Source organism: Homo sapiens, chromosome 6 (assembly GCF_000001405.40).
Source record: "Homo sapiens chromosome 6, GRCh38.p14 Primary Assembly".
NCBI lineage: Eukaryota > Metazoa > Chordata > Mammalia > Primates > Hominidae > Homo > Homo sapiens.
The window spans coordinates 43739073-43754849 of NC_000006.12; positions in this window are offsets into that span (position 1 = coordinate 43739073).

Below are 15777 nucleotides of genomic sequence, written 5' to 3' on the forward strand. Positions count from 1 at the left end.
TGGTGATGGGCTGCACCTTTTCTGAGGACGCTGTGCAGGCCAATGCGGGTGGGCCAGACAGAACATGTCTGAGGACGGGATGTGGTCCACGGGGTGCCAGTTTGCAACCTCCTCATCCAGCCAAACTGTACTTTTTGCCATTCCGTTGTATAGGACTGTCCTATACCTGCCTCTGTGCCAGAATCGGGCTCAAATTATGGCTCTGCTCATTTATTATAGCTACATGGCTTTGGGCCTCAGTTTTCTCATCTGTAAAATGGATATATTAATAGTATCCACATCTGGTGGTAATATGAAGAATGAATGTGTTAATATATGCAAAGCACTGAGAAGTATGCCAGACACATAGCATTCAATAGGTATAAACCGTCATCATCACTATTATTATTAGACGGCTCAAATGTTGCCTCCTCCGGGAAGCCTTCCCTAGTCCCACAGCTGGAATTAATCTCTCCCTCAGCTGAGTTCCTACTGCATTCTTTCTGTCTTGTGTTACAGTTAGTGTCTACATGACTGACTGTCCTGTTGGAGTGTCACCTCTTGGAGGCCAGATCCGTGCCCCATTGATCTTTATGTTTCTCAGTCATTCATTTAGCAGTTACTGAGTGTCTTTGATAGCCAGGCATTGTGCCGGGGGCAGGAGATATGATGGTGAGAAGATATGGCCCTTATCACTTGGCTCTGTGCCTAGGTTAGTGTTCACAGAGAGATTCTGGGCTTGTGGAGACACTGCCTTCCTGCCACCTGGTGTCTCCTTGCATCCCTGTGGAGTGGGCTGGGACGGTGGAGCCCAGGCTCAGCTGACAACCCCAAGGGCAGCTCCACCTACAACGCGATCCCACCACACTGGGAGGGACACAAGCAAATAGACACATGTCTCCCTGCCAGCCCTGTGTCCTCCAGGTGGGAACTGGGATAGTCCTGGCAGGTTGGGGACCAGCTCTGTGCCCATACCAGGTGGAGACTCCCCACTCCTGGGTCAACCCCCAGCTCCTGTACTACTGCACCCCCAGAGACACTCACTCAGCTCCAACCTCAGGATTCAGGCCTCAAATCCAAGATGTGACCTGGAGAGATAACTGAACTAGACATTTACAAGCTCTAGAGTCAGACTCCCTGGGTGTGACTGCCAGTTATTGGCCTCTTTGGGCCTCAGTTCCCCAGAGAGGAATTATGTGAGTTAATACCTGGATAGCTCTTAGCATTGGTATGGGTCATTTTCACTAGGCAGGGGCATAGGAGCCCCAGGTTGGTTATTGACCTACTCCTTACTCCCCGTGGTCAGGAGAGAGGGTAAGATACCTCTGAAATCTGCCTGCAGGGGCACATGGTGTAAGACAGGAAGGAGGGACAGCTTTGTCTCCCAGACCCCCAGCTATGAGTGGGATCCTGATCACGTGGCTCAGGGAGGCCCTGGCTGCAGCGTCCTGGTGGGGCATGGACAGGAGGGGCCTCCCACCTACACCCCAGCAGGATCCATCACTGGGCCTCCCAAGGCAGTGGAGTGGGGAGGAGGTGCTGAAAGACTGGGCTTGGGAAGCCTAGCACGGGACCCCGGCCTCCCCTCCCCCACCAGGCCAGGATGAAAGCTCCCTTCTCTAACCCCTTAAGACCCTGGTCTTGGTCCTCATTAAAAACTCTAATCCTCCAGCCCTCACTGCAGATGCAGAGGCCTCCACTCCCAGGTCTGGCTGGGAGGGGACAAGTGATAGACTCTGTCCTTCTGCACAACCAGGCTGAGCCTAGGCTCCTAAAGCACTGGTCGGTGGGTGTCTAGGGACCACTGGGACCCCAGGACACAGCTTCTGGGAAATGGAGGAGGGTGAAGACAGGCTTCTGAGGGGAGGAGTCCTGGGAAAAGAGGGATAGGAGGAGGAGGTGGTGGCAATGTCCTGACCAAGTGGGAGAGTCCCTGGCAAGAGACACTTCTCCCTTCCTTTCACCCTTGCCACCCCGGAAATCCCCTGCTGAGGGGTCCTCAGAGGGTAGTCCCAGGCACCCAGCTCAGGGCACCTCTGCTGGAATGGAGCAATGAAGGCCCAGGATCCAGGCCAGGGGCCCTCGAGCCCTCAGTTTCCTCTGCTCTCCAATGGGGCAGATCACTTCCTCACTTGCTCCTGCCTCCCCTCCTGGGCCAGCATGAGGGCAGAGGGAAAGGCCAAAGAGAACACATTTTGGCAGGTAAGCATAGCAAGTGCAGGAGGAGGCAGGGGTCAGCGTTTGCTAAGCATTTGTAATTGGCTCCTGGTCCCTGTGGCCAAGTGCTGGCCTGCATTATTTCCACTGGTCCAGAGGTTCCCAGTGAAGTGTGGAGCAATCTCATTCCTTCCCTTTTACCTCCATTCCTCCCTGAGGCTGCCGAGAGCAGCTTCTCTAAGCCTTCCCCTTCTATGCTGCATAAAAAAGGGCTTTGTTGGGAGGCCCAAGGTTTTCCAGGCCCATCATTATCACCCCATATCTACCAGGCCTCCTGAGTTGGGGATGCTGGGCTGGGGGCTATTGGGAGCTCTGGGAAGGGAAAACAGACAGCCTCCCAGGCTAACAGACAGCCTCCCAAGACAGAGCCTCTGTCCCCAGAAACCACGTTTGGAATCAGAGAAACACACACTCTATGTCGTCCAGTGTTGGCTGAAAGGGGCAGGTGGTCAGTTACCTAGACCTCATACATAATCAACTGTATTTCATCAAAAGCAAGACGCACAATTAAATTACACACCACTAAGAAGGAAAACCGCTGCTAATTAAACTCTGACACAGTGCCTTTTTGTTATTGATCCCGGGGAACATCCTGAGTTCAGATGTTAAATGTGGAAAATGTGTGTCAGAGAATCAAAATAAAGTTAAAAACATTTCTATCAACATTTGTCTTGGACATAGTGTCCATAGTGTTCTGCATCTTGTAGTGTTTACTTAGAAGTGTTTACTGAGGTTTCTGAGATTAGGCATAAATGTATGATGTAAAAGATGATGTAAAGCCATCAGCACAGTACCTGGTATAAAGTAAACTGTCATTAAATGTTAACTATTATTGCTGTTGCTATTATATGTACAAGGACTTTATATGTATATGAAAGTCCTTCAGCTCCCGAATCTTTCATTGTTCTAGAGGCTAAGGTCTGAGGACACCAGTGGCTAGAGTCAGAGGTGCCAGGAAAGCTGAGGAGGCAGCCTGGAGGAGGGGCCGTTCCATGTGTGAAGTCTGCAGTGTCTCTATAACCTTTGGAGGCATCAGAAGGGGCCTGAGCCCAAAGGCTGCCTTTGCCAGTTCCCCAGAAAAGTGAGGCCCCTGACTTATTACCCCTATGAGTCAGTCAATCAATCAATCATCCAATCAATCCATTCATTAAGACACTTATTGAACACCTGCACCATGACAGTCTCTGTGCTAAGTCCCTCCTTCAGCAGCCCCCACCTGGCCCCTGCCTGTTAGGAGCATCCAGGCTCAGCTATTCGAACTGGCACATCAAAGGGGGATTGGCCCTGATCCCTCATCAGAGGCTTCTTTCCAGGGATCGGCCTGAAGATGTGGCAGCTCCTCTGCTTCTCTCACCATCCCCAATCTCACCCGCAACAGGGGAAGGGATCTTCATTTCCCAGGCACTTCTAGGCCTTTGTAGAGCCTGCTCCCTCTGCCAGGACAGTCTTGGTTCTGTGCTGTGCAAAATTCCTCTCTTTCCCTTTCTTTCAAAACAGGTTTCAAGCCCCTTCTCCAGAAAACTTTCTTTGAAAACGTCTGTCCTCCACTCAGCTTTCCTGCCCTGTTTCTTAGTGCTCTCAGAATATAGTGTATACCCTGCAAATTGTTCCCTCCTGTGGTCTGGGCTTCTTTCCTGCCTACCTGTCCCGTCTCACGTGGCCAGCTACCAGTTGTAAAAGGACTGGTGATCTGGCACTAGGATACTGATGCCTCACCTTTAATTCATAGCATTTTACCTCCCAAATTTGTGTGGTGTGCTATTGGGGAGCTAGGCACTGTGATAGGCGGTGGGGTGGCCCTGCCCTCAGAACCCTCTCAGCCTGCTGGGCTATAATGTCCCCCTGCCCCCACCACACCACATCCCTCTTGCCTTGAATCCCAGCTTCATCCAGTGGAGACCTGTGGTGTGCCTGTCCTTCATCAGACTGGGGTGTCCCCCTGAAGAGGGAACAGTGTGTGGTGAGCTCTTGCAGGGGGCCCTTTGCTCCCCTCCAGCTGCAGAGCACCGGCTAACCTTGTCCTCACTCCCCCTGCTACCCAAGCAGGCCCACGGTTGTTTATGGTTCAAATGCAGACCCCAGGGGCTGAGGCCTCTCCAACACCCAGAACTGAGCTGTCCCGTCCTCAGCTTTCCAAGAACAGGCTCTGTCGAGCACACATGGTTGTGAAACGATCCTGCTGGGCTCTCTAAGAGATGAGGCCATTTATGGGCTGAGTGGGCTGCCGTGGGCTGCCAAGGGTCAGGCTGGGGACCTGTGTGCGTTGAGACTCTGGTCAGTCTCCTCTCTGCACACAGCCTCCAGGAGCAAGGGCTAGACACAGACGGGCATTCTTCCCAAGTTTAATTTTGAATATGCTTAAATTATTTTAAAAGCAGTCTTGCCATATCAGGAACCCCAAATTAAACTCACACGTATGTTCCTGCGGGATGGGGAGCTAAGGCCTTCCCACTAGGGCTTCTCCAGAGCAGAAGACACAGAGAGGAAAATAGGCTTTCCAAGTTGGAGGGCAGGACAGGTTGCATAATTTGTGGGCCCAGTGAAAAAAGAAATATGAGTCCCACATTGTGCTGAGGAGAGATCTGTGGCCTGAGAGGGGAAGGGCCCTGGCCTCTGCTACCCTGGGAGGCAACATCACAGCCAGGAATGGGGCCTGCCGCTCTTACTCCTTAACCAGTGCTCACCCCAGGCCCAGCTGTGCCAGGAAGGCCTTGTTTCCATCCTGGGCCTTCGCTTGCCTTCCCCCTGCTTATTCCTGGGCCTCCAAAAAGCTTCTCTGTCCCCCAAGCTCTCCTCTTCCAGGAGGTCTTCCTTTCCTGTTTGGACAGTTTTACCTGCTGGTTAGTCCCATGCTTCTTCCCCTTTCCAGGCTCTCTCATAGCTTTGCCCTTGACCTTCTGAGCCTTTGTTTACTTTTTATGTGAGTGACAGAGAGCAGCCTCCTTCCTCCCTTGGCCATAGTTCTTTGGGGGTCTTCTTCATCATACTAGGAGCTCTCTGAGGATAGGGCAAGCTCTCCTTTCAGACTGGGGGTCCCTGGGGTTGGAAGTCTTTCTTGGGACTCCCCCTAGGCTTCCCTTGGCAGACCCAACGTTGCACTAGAGGGGTGACTGTGCCTGGTGTGGTGCCCAGTTGGCTGTGTGTGTGCACACGTGTGTGTGTGTATGTGTGTATTGTGTGGGGAGGGTTTGCTTTTGGTTTTCCATCACCTTCCCTGTCCTTTCCTGATCAGATCCTCTGAGTGAGGCTGGTTAGGGAGATGGAGCTTGGAATGAGGGAGGAAGATGGGGTGGTATGGCACCCCAGCCCTACGTCCGGCCAGGGCTCCAATGGAGTGTGGGCAGCATGACCTTCTTCCTGGGCCTCCCGCTGGGGTGTGAGGGAGGAAGGCCGGTCTTGAGCTGGGGTCAGGGTGGAGAGGGGCAGCCTTTCAGCTGAGGTCCGTCACTCAGAGGCAGGGTCCGTGGCATTTGGCCGGCAGGGGAGAAGGGAGGGAATGTGAGGAATAGGCTGACTCAGCAGTTGCCCCCTCCCAGCTCTGGGGACAGGCGCTGGGGGAGGACTGATTGCTGAGAACATGCAGATGGTGGTGGCAGTTCCTCTGGGTTGTGTTTTGAGGGGAGGGCTGGGGAGAGATAGGAGTCAGAAACACCAGAGTCCCCCAGAAATACTGGGGAGGCATGAAAGGGAGCTGGAGGAGGGGAACCCAGGAGAGGGTACCTTTTGACATTGCCATAGCTGTGAATATCAGTGACATGCAAAGGAATGCCCCAAACACGAAGAAGGCCGCTCCTTTGTGGGGATGAGCTGGGGACAGTATGAGGAGAGGGCTTGGCTAGGGGGCAATGGGACCTGTGAGGGAGTAGAGGGTGTTAAGAGTGAGCCAACAGCCGCCCAGCCCGGCCCAGCCGAAGGGGAGGTAGACGGCAGGCCTGCTTTTGCCGAATCTAGAGCTCCTCTCTGCAACTTGATCGTAAGCTTCATTAAGGCAGAGGCCGTCTCATAACATCTCTTAATTATCTGACAACCCCTCCACAGGGCTGGGCACATATAAGCATTGTGCCCAAGTTTAATTTTGAGTATACTTAAATTATTTTTCAAGCAGTCTTGCAATATCAGGAACCCCACATTAAACTCATACCCATAATCCCAGCTATTTACTTTTCTCCTTGTACCTTCCAAAATCTTTATAGGCATGCTTACGTAAGGGTGACTTAGGTAAACGCGGCCTGAGTCAGGCTTTTCCACCAGCTTTGCCGGGTGCACTGGTTGACGGGGTGTAAGTGTGTGTATCGGGCTCCTTTGCTCTGAAGTAACCCTTGTTTGCAGGCAAGGAGAGCTGGGGGCACCCTCACTACCCAGTCTCCATGCTCTTCCCTCTGTTTACATTGCTGCCAAGCGGGCACCTGCTTCATTTATATTCTCACTTGAAACAACTCTGACTTATGCAAAAATGGACTTACTTAAGATTTACCAGAACAGAATACTAGCTTGATTTGGGGACTGTGTGTGTGTGGCAATGGCTGGTTGATTTCAGGTAGTGATTCCCAAACATTTTGAGCTGGAAAACCCTATTTTAACACTAAAAAACAAAAACAAAAACAAAACCTTCAGAGAACTCCAAAAGACAGTGATTGTATAACAGATATTCATCATCTGAGAAAAATCCATGAAGACAACAAACTGTGGTGAAGTTAGAAATAATTTGAAATTATCACATATTATTGATCTCCATAGTATCTACATAAGTTTGAAAGAAAAATAGCAAATGCATTCAGGAATATTATTCACTTGACTATGTGAGCAAAGATGTTCATGACAGCATTATAATTTAAAGTCAAATAACTAGGGTCTGTTGGGAGATATTGTCCCCTACTTGGGTACGTGACTCCACCATGTAAATGCAGCACTGTACTGTATGGAACTGTGTATATGTGTGTATATGTGTGTGTGTATGTGTGTGTGCGTGTGTGTGTGTGTGGAGGAGGGCACATGTGAAGAATGGGAAGGGAATGTATTAGAACACAGTGTTTTGCTTGTGAAAATTCAGTGGTCTCTGGGGGAGGAGGGGGAGGTAAGTGACAGGAAGGAGCTGTGCTGATGGCTGAAATCTGTGGGTGCTGAGAAGTCCTTTCTGAGAGCAAAGTTAGTGTCTGGCTTTGAGTTCTGGGGTGGGGAGAGGAGGCTGAAGAGGCAGGCAAGAGCCAGACCACACAGGTTCCGGTGGACCATGTGAGGCAGAGAATCCTTATCCTTAGAGAGGAGATGTCGTCTCTGGATGTGGTGTGAGACAGCCGGGAAGTTCCTCCCTACACGAAGATCCTTCTTGCTGTGTGTTTTTCCCCATCCCCTCTTCATTTCTCTGCATTTTACATCACTGCTCGCTGGGCCCAGGGCAGCTCAGTGTAAATCTTCAATCTGCAGTTCCAGGAACCCTGTTTCCCAACCCCCAAAATCTGGGCCTGAGGTCTGACAAGTCCCAGAAGAGCTGCGGGGATTATGAGGCAGGATGTGTAAAATCAGGGGCGTCCAGGAACGTGGAGCTTGACGGTAGCAGGAGGAGTGGAGAAGCTGGCCTGGGACTGACTCCCATTCCCCTAATTTGGCATCCTGCCCCCTCCCTTGGGGGGCTGGGAGCGGTCAGCTCCAGGCTTCCCCACGTCTCCACGGCTCCGCTGCCCGTGCTCTTCTGAGAGCAACGTGCTGAGGGAGCACTTGTGAGCCATGAGGGCAGGAGTTGGGGCAGGGGTCAGGGTGCTTTTTAATTTCTCGTTAGCAATGACAGCTGTAGAACTCAAGCAATTAAGGAGGACGACTCCCCCAGGATGCCAGAGGGCCAGCCCCCCGCCAAGCTGTGCACAGCTTCCTCCCTTCCTCCTTTTCCATGTCCCCCCTCACCCCCATCACAGGCTTCCCCTCCCTGGGCCCAGGAAGCTGTGAGCCACTGTTCAGGGGAGGAAAGGGGTGCAAAAGTTCCCCTTCCAACACTTTAGCAGGGAGAACAGAACAAAAGGAAGATGGAGGGGCTCCTGAGTCTGGAAGCTGCTTCTTCCTCCCTATGGTCCACGCCTGGGGGTGGGCCCGTCCTGTGGAAAGGGGTCCACTCTCTTCAGAGTTGGTATTGAGGATGGGGACATAAAAATGACCAAAGGTTGGCTGGGTGTGGTGGCTCACGTCTGTAATCCCAGCACTTTTAGAGGCCAAGGTGGGAGAATCATTTGAGCCCAGGAGTTTGAGACCAGCCTGGGCAACCATGGGCCATGGTTTGAGACCATGGGCAACATGGTGAGACTCGGTCTCAAAAAAAAAAAAAAAAAAAAAAAAGACCAAAGGCATAGCAATTTTTCCTGTGCTTCTAAACTGTTCTTTTTTTCTAAGATCTATAGGGCATTCAACTTCTCTTGAATTTCTTCTTCATCATTTGGCTGGAGCTTTTCAGCAGCCTACTCCAGATCCTGCCTACCGCGTGGACTTGTTCCGTCCCCACCTGTCGGGGGAGGGTACATGTGTTCAATGCTATGCTTTTATTAACATCAGTCTTGCTGCATGGGCGGGGACATGTTTTTGGGTGCAGGAGCAAAGCTTTATATCCCTGTCCAAACATCTCACTCCACCCAGCAGCTGATACGTGAAACCCTACCATTAATATTTGCCTCCTTTACGGTCATCTCCTTGTGAAATTGCAAACACTCTTGGGAAGGAAACCTCTTCGGCATGAACAAAAGATCTGACAGCTGACATTGATATGGAGTAACAGGGGTGGGAGGCTTGCTGGCCAAGATTCCCAGGGATGGGGAGGAGTTGGGGGCAGAGGGTTAAAGAGAAGAGTGGACACACTTCATAGTTTTCCCCTACTGCTGGTTAAGTCTTTAAAGCCTGGAAGACTAACAGACCAGCTGTCTTCTCTGACCTAAAAGAAAAGACATCCTTCTCATGTTCATGGTCATGACCATTGCCATCAACAGCCTCATATGGATGTTGAACACCAATGATGCCTCAAAGACATTAAACACCTGGCCCTTGCTCTCAAGATGCTCACAGCTCACTATGGGGCACCCCGCTCACTTGAGTGTGCAATGATGAGCCTATGAAAGTTTTAGAGGAAGGGCTTACATGTACCAAGTGTTATCTAAGGGAGATTAGCCAGGTGGTGGTGACCAAGGTGGATTGAGCACAGGGCAGAAGAGATGGTGAAGCTTGCTGGGAGCCCTTTGCCATCACGCAGGTGAGAGCTGAGAGGCCTCAGATAGGCTGATGGCAGTGGGAACACAGATGCTAGGACTCATAGAAAGGCATTTTGGAAAATCAATCTCCAGGACTCTGACTATGGAGAGGGTAACAGAAGGAGGAATTGAGCATCAGCCCAAGGTTCAGAACTTGGGTCCCCCAAAGATGGTGGCAACAGAAAGGGAAGTCTGTTGGAGCCATGTTTGAATGGAAGGTGAGTTCTGGTGCAACATGCTGCATTTAAAGAGAGGTCGTCCTACCCCATGCCCCACCACAAACAAGGCAGGACTGAAGGCAAGCTGTGCATACACAGAATGCAATTTTTCTGAAAGAACTTCTACAAATATCAGCAGTCCTTCAAAGTGGTCAGTACAAGAGGCCAGGCAAGTTTTCCAAAGAGCTCGCCTTTGTTCAACACATTTTTTACTTATTTATGGGATATTTCTTGTGTGTCCACTAGGTGCCTGGCGCAGTCTAGTGCAGGAGACATGTAGACTGTTGGTTTCTGCCTTTAGGGAGCTTACTCTCTAATTAGGGTGATATTAAAGTCAAACTCATAAGAAAGGGTCTGTGTATCTATGACTTCCCATCATATAGAACATAATAGCTTTTTTATTGCTGTGCAACAAATGACCACAAACTTAGCACCTCCAAATAACACCTATTGATTAGCCTACAGTTCTGTAGGTCAGAAGTCAGGGACAGTGTGAGTGGGCTTCTCGCTCAGGGTGTCACAAGGCTGAAATCAAAATGTCAGCTGAACTGAGTTCTTTTTGTTTTTGTTGTCGTTGAGACAAGGTTTCACTCTGTTGCCCAGGATAGAGTGCAGTGGTGTGATCATGGCTTGCTGCAGCCTTGAACTCCTGGGCTCAAGTGATCCTCTTACCTCATCCTCCTGAGCAGCTAGGACCACAGATGTGCACCACCACACCTGGCTAATTTTCAAAATTTTTGTAGAGAGGGGGTCCCACTATGTTGCCCAGGCTGGTCTTGAACTCCTGAGCTCATGTGATTCAGGCATGAGCCACCAGGCCTGGCCATGGATAATCTCATTTTTAGAGTCACCTATGCCATGGAACAACCTAACTGCGGGGGTGAAACCTATCATATTCACAGTCCTGGGATTATGTATAGGGGCAAACCAAGGAGCAGGGGATTTTGGTGGGTCATCTTAGAATTCTCCCTACCACACTTAGAATTAAATATGAAGTTTTTACAGTGGCCTATAAGGCTTTACATGTTTTGGCCCCTAGCTACCTCTCTCCTTTGCCGTTTAGACATTCTTACTTTTCCTCAAAAAGACAAGCATGTTCTGGTTTCAGGGAATTTGCCCTTGCTTCTGTCTCAGCCTGGAATGCCCTTTCCCTAGATATTTCCAGGCGTTCCCCCTCATTTCCTTCAGATCTCTACTCAGAATGAGCCCTTTGTTGACCTCATCTAAAATAGAAACAGCCCCTTCCCCCAAAACCTGCTCAGTCTCTATCCCCTCACCTTGCTTTATTTGTCTGCATAGCATTTATCAACACTATTTTTAAAAAATAAATTTATTTATTAAATTACATAGTCAGTGCCGGGCATGGTGGCTCATGCCTGTAATCCCAGCACTTTGGGAGGCTCAGGAGGGCAGATCACTTGAGGTCAGGAGTTCAAGACCAGCCTGGCCAACATGGTGAAATACCATCTCTACTAAAAATACAAAAATTAGCCAGGCGTGGTGGCGTGTGCCTGTAGTCCCAGCTCCTCTGGAGGCTGAGACAGGAGAATCACTTGAACCCGGGAGGCAGAGGTTACAGTAAGCCAAGATCACGCCACTGCACTCCAGCCTGGGTGACAGAGTGAGACTCCGTCTCAAACCAATCAACAAACAACAACAACAAATTACATAGTCCATTTGTGTGTGTGTGTATGTGAGTGGTTATTTCTTTATTGAGATGGAGTCTTGCTCTGTCACCCAGGCTGGAGTGCAGTAGCATGATCTTGGCTCACTGCAATCTCCGTCTCCCAGGTTCAAGCAATCCTCTTGCCTCAGCCTCCCCAGTAGCTGGGACTATAGGCGTGCACCACCACGCCTGGCTAATTTTTGTACTTTTAGTAGAGACGGGGTTTCACCATGTTGGCCAGGCTGGTCTTGAATTCCTGGCCTCAAGTGATCCACCTGCCTCGGCCTCCCAAAATGTTGGAATTACAGGGATGAGCCACCACGCCTGGCCTACATAATTAATTTGAACTTATGATATATTTATCTGTTTGTTGTGCATCTCCAATTAGAATATAAGGTCAGTGAGGGCATGACCTTTGTTTTATTCACTATCTCTGGTGCCTAGAATAGTGCCTAGCACATAGTAGGTGCTCGATAAATATTTGATGAATAAATGATTGGATGTGTTTTCAGACTGAGAAATTTTGAAATGAAAAGTTTATTTTAGAGCACAAATCAGATGAAAAATTATTTCTGTACTTTTTGTTTTATAGTTTAACATTTTTAATGAATTTAAAAACCTTTGACTAGAGCAAGTTAAACACAAAGTAAGGAGAAGACATTAGATAATAAAGATCAGAGAAAAATGTAGCTAGGTGCGGCGGCTCACGCCTGTAATCCCAGCACTTGGGGAGGCCGAGGCAGGTGGATCACTTGAGGTCAGGAATTCGAGATCAGCCTGGCCAACATGGCAAAACCCTAACTCTACTAAAAAATACAAAAATTAACTCAGCGTGGTGGCAAGTGCCTGTAATCCCACCTACTCGGGAGGCTGAGGCATGAGAATTGCTTGAACCTGGGAGGTGGAGGTTGTGGTGAGCCGAGATTGCACCACTGCGCTCTAGCCTGGGTGATAGAGCGAGACTCTGTCTAAAAAAAGAAAAATATCAGAGAATAATGAAGTTGAAAATAGAAGAACATTGAGACAATCAATAAAACCAAAAGCTGTTATTTCAAGAAAATCAATAATATTGATAAACCTCTAGCCAGATTGATCGGGAAAAAAAGAGAAGACACAAATTACCAGTATCAGGAATGAAAGCTGTGATTGACTACAGACTGTATAGATAGTAAAAAGATAAGAAGGTAATATTATGAAAAATTTTACTCCAATAAATTCCATAACTTAGATGAAATGAACTAATTCTGTCAAAGACACATACTATGGTAGCTTACTCAAGAAGAAACAGAGGCAGGGCGTGATGGCTCATGCCTGTAATCCCAGCACTTTGGGAGGCCAAGGTGGGCGGATCACCTGAGGTCAGGAGTTGGAGACCAGCCTGGCCACCATAGTGAAACCCCATCTCTACTAAAAATACAGAAATACAAAAATTAGCCAGGTGTGGTGGCGCACGCCTGTAATGCCAGCTACTTGAGAGGCTGAGGCATGAGAATCGCTTGAACCTGGGAGGTGGAGGTTGCAGTGAGCTGAGATTGTGCCACTCCACTCCATTCAGGTTATCTAGAAGAAACAGATAACTTGAATGGACTTATATGTAATTTTTTAAAGACTGAATTTGCAGTTGAAAGCCTCTCCACAAAGAAAATCCAGGCCCAGATGGCTTTACTGATGTATACTACCAAACATTTAAGGAAGAAATAATAATAATTCTATACAAACTTTTCTAGAATATTCAGGAGGCAGAAATACCTCCCAACTCATCAGATAAGGCTAAAACCAAACAAAGATACTACAAGAACAGAAAACTACTGGCCAATATCTCTCATGAGTATAGATGAAAAATTTCTACACCAAATTCATGTAAATATAATTGAACTCTATCACCTATACACATACTATATATACATATTCATGCACTGCATAATGATTTTTTGGTCAATGATGGACCTTATGTATGATGATGATTCTATAAGATTATAATACTGTATTTTTACTGCAACTTTTCAATGTTTAGATACATGAATACTTACCATTGTGTTACTATTGCTTACAGTATTTAGTAGAGTAACATGCTATACAGGTTTGTAGCTTAGAAGTAATAGGCTATACTACATAGCCTAGGTATGTAGTATGCTGTATCATCTATATGTGTATTAGTATATATATATGTACTAGTGTATATACATGTACACTAATAACATCATGACCAAGTAGAGCTTATCCTAGGAATTCAAGGTTAGTTTAGCATTCAACAATTCAATGTAATTCATTATATTAACAAATTAAAAAGAAAAACCCATACAATCATCTCAATAGATGTAGAAAATACATTTGACAAAACACAACATGCATTTCTGATTTTTAAAACTTAAGCAAACTAAGAATATAAAGGAACTTCCACAACCTGATAATAAGCCTCTACCAAAAAAAAAAAAAACTATAATGGTGAAAAGATAGAATATTTTCTCCTGAATGTGCTTGATCTCATCTGATCTGATCTTGTAAAGCTAAGCAGGGTGGGCCTAGTTAGTGCTTGGATGGGAGACCACCTTGGAATACTGGGTGCTGTAGGCTTTTGGCCTTTGGCTCCCTTCCTAAAAAAAAAAAAAAAAGAATAGAACAAGGATGTCCACTCTTATTGCTTTTATTCAACATTGTACCAGAGGCTCTAACCACTGTAATGTAATAAGGCAAGAAAAATACAAGGCATTCAGATAGGACACGAAGAAGTAAAATTTTCATTATTTGCAGATGACATGATCAACCCTATAGAAGGTCTGATGGAATCTACAAGGAAGCTACTAGAACTAATAAATGAATTTAGTATGGTAGTGAGACACAAAAGTGGTATACAAAAATCAATTATATTCCTAAATATGAGCAATGAACCATTGGAACTTGAAATTTAAAAATAATACTTAAAAATATTATCTGTTGCACTGGGCTCTCAAGGATTCCTCAGTTATGGGAAATTTTCTTAGATTATGTCACTAAGGATGTCTTTCCCTTAGTTTCTCTGTTTCTCCTGTTATTTAGATGTTGTTGTCTCTGCTGGAGTGGTCCTGTAGTTTTATTGCTTAGTTACTTGTAACTTTCCATCCTTTTGTTATTTTCTCTCTACTTTGTGGACATTTCCTCAGCTTTATCTTCCAAATTTCCACTAAATTTTTTATTTCTGCTATCACATTTGATTTTTTAAGACCTGTCTCTTATTCTGTTTTTTTAAAAAACACTGTTCTGTTTTTGTTTCATCTCTGCAATATTTTTTCTTATCATTCACAGGATATGATAATAATGTGTTGTTATTTTTAAGCTTTCTTCACGCTATGTAGACTCAGCTTCCTTCAAGTCACTTTTTTATTTGTTTTGGCCTCTGTCTTTTGTGTTAGAAGCTTTCCTCAAATGTCTCATAATTCTCAGTTGTTTGCTTATTTTTAGGTGTGGAGATTTGTAAAGCTAGTTGGAAGCTGTGTAGGTGTGTGACTATGTATGTGTAGGTATGTGTGTATATGTGAGTATGTATACGAGTGCATGCATGTGGGTGTGTAGGTGTGTGTGCATATGTGAGTGTGTATGTGTGTGTCTGTGTGTGCATGTGTGTGTGTATATGTGACTGTGTATGCTAGTGTATGTATGTGGGTGTGTAGGTGTGTGTGCGTATGTGTGTATGTGTGTGTGCATGTGTGTGTAGGTGTGTGTATATGTGATTGTGTATGTGAGTATATGTATGTATGTGTGTAGATGTGTGTGCATATGTGAGTCTGTGTATGTGGGTGTGGTTCTGTGAGCCTCACACTAGGGTGACCTGGCTGGGATGTTTCATTTTGCCCCCAGTGTTAGTGTCTTTGCTAACTTTGCTAAAGTGGAGATTCAGGAACAAGAAAATTAGATGTAAGAGTTCAGGCTGCCAATTTTTCCTGGAAGTCTTTTAATTTATTTTTAGATGCTTTTTTAATTTAAATTTTTTATTTTTTAGAGCTGGGGGTCTCATTATGTCACCCTGGCTGGTGAGCAGGGGCTATACATAGGCACAGTCTTCATGCACTACAGCCTTGGACTCCTGCCTTAGCCTTCGGAGTAGCTGGGGCTACAGGTGTGCACCATTGTGCCCAGCTATTATTATTATTATCAATTCCATGTAATCATACTGAAAGAACAGATCAGGTATGCTCTGAAATTGAGTCAGTCTGGTTTACTGTGCCATTTCCATCCCCTAGCACAGGGCCTGGTATATAAGGAAGTATCAATAGATATTTACTAAATTTATGGATAAACAAACAAATAAGCTGCTTTCGTAGCCTTTATCATGTTAAAAATATTCCACAATGATGTCAAGACTTCATCCTGGCCAGGTGTGGTGGCTCACACCTGTAATCCTAGCACTTTGGGAGGCCGAAGCAGGCAGATCACTTGAGGTCAGGAGTTTGAAACCAGCCTGGCCAACGTGGTGGACACCTGTAATCCCAGCTACTTG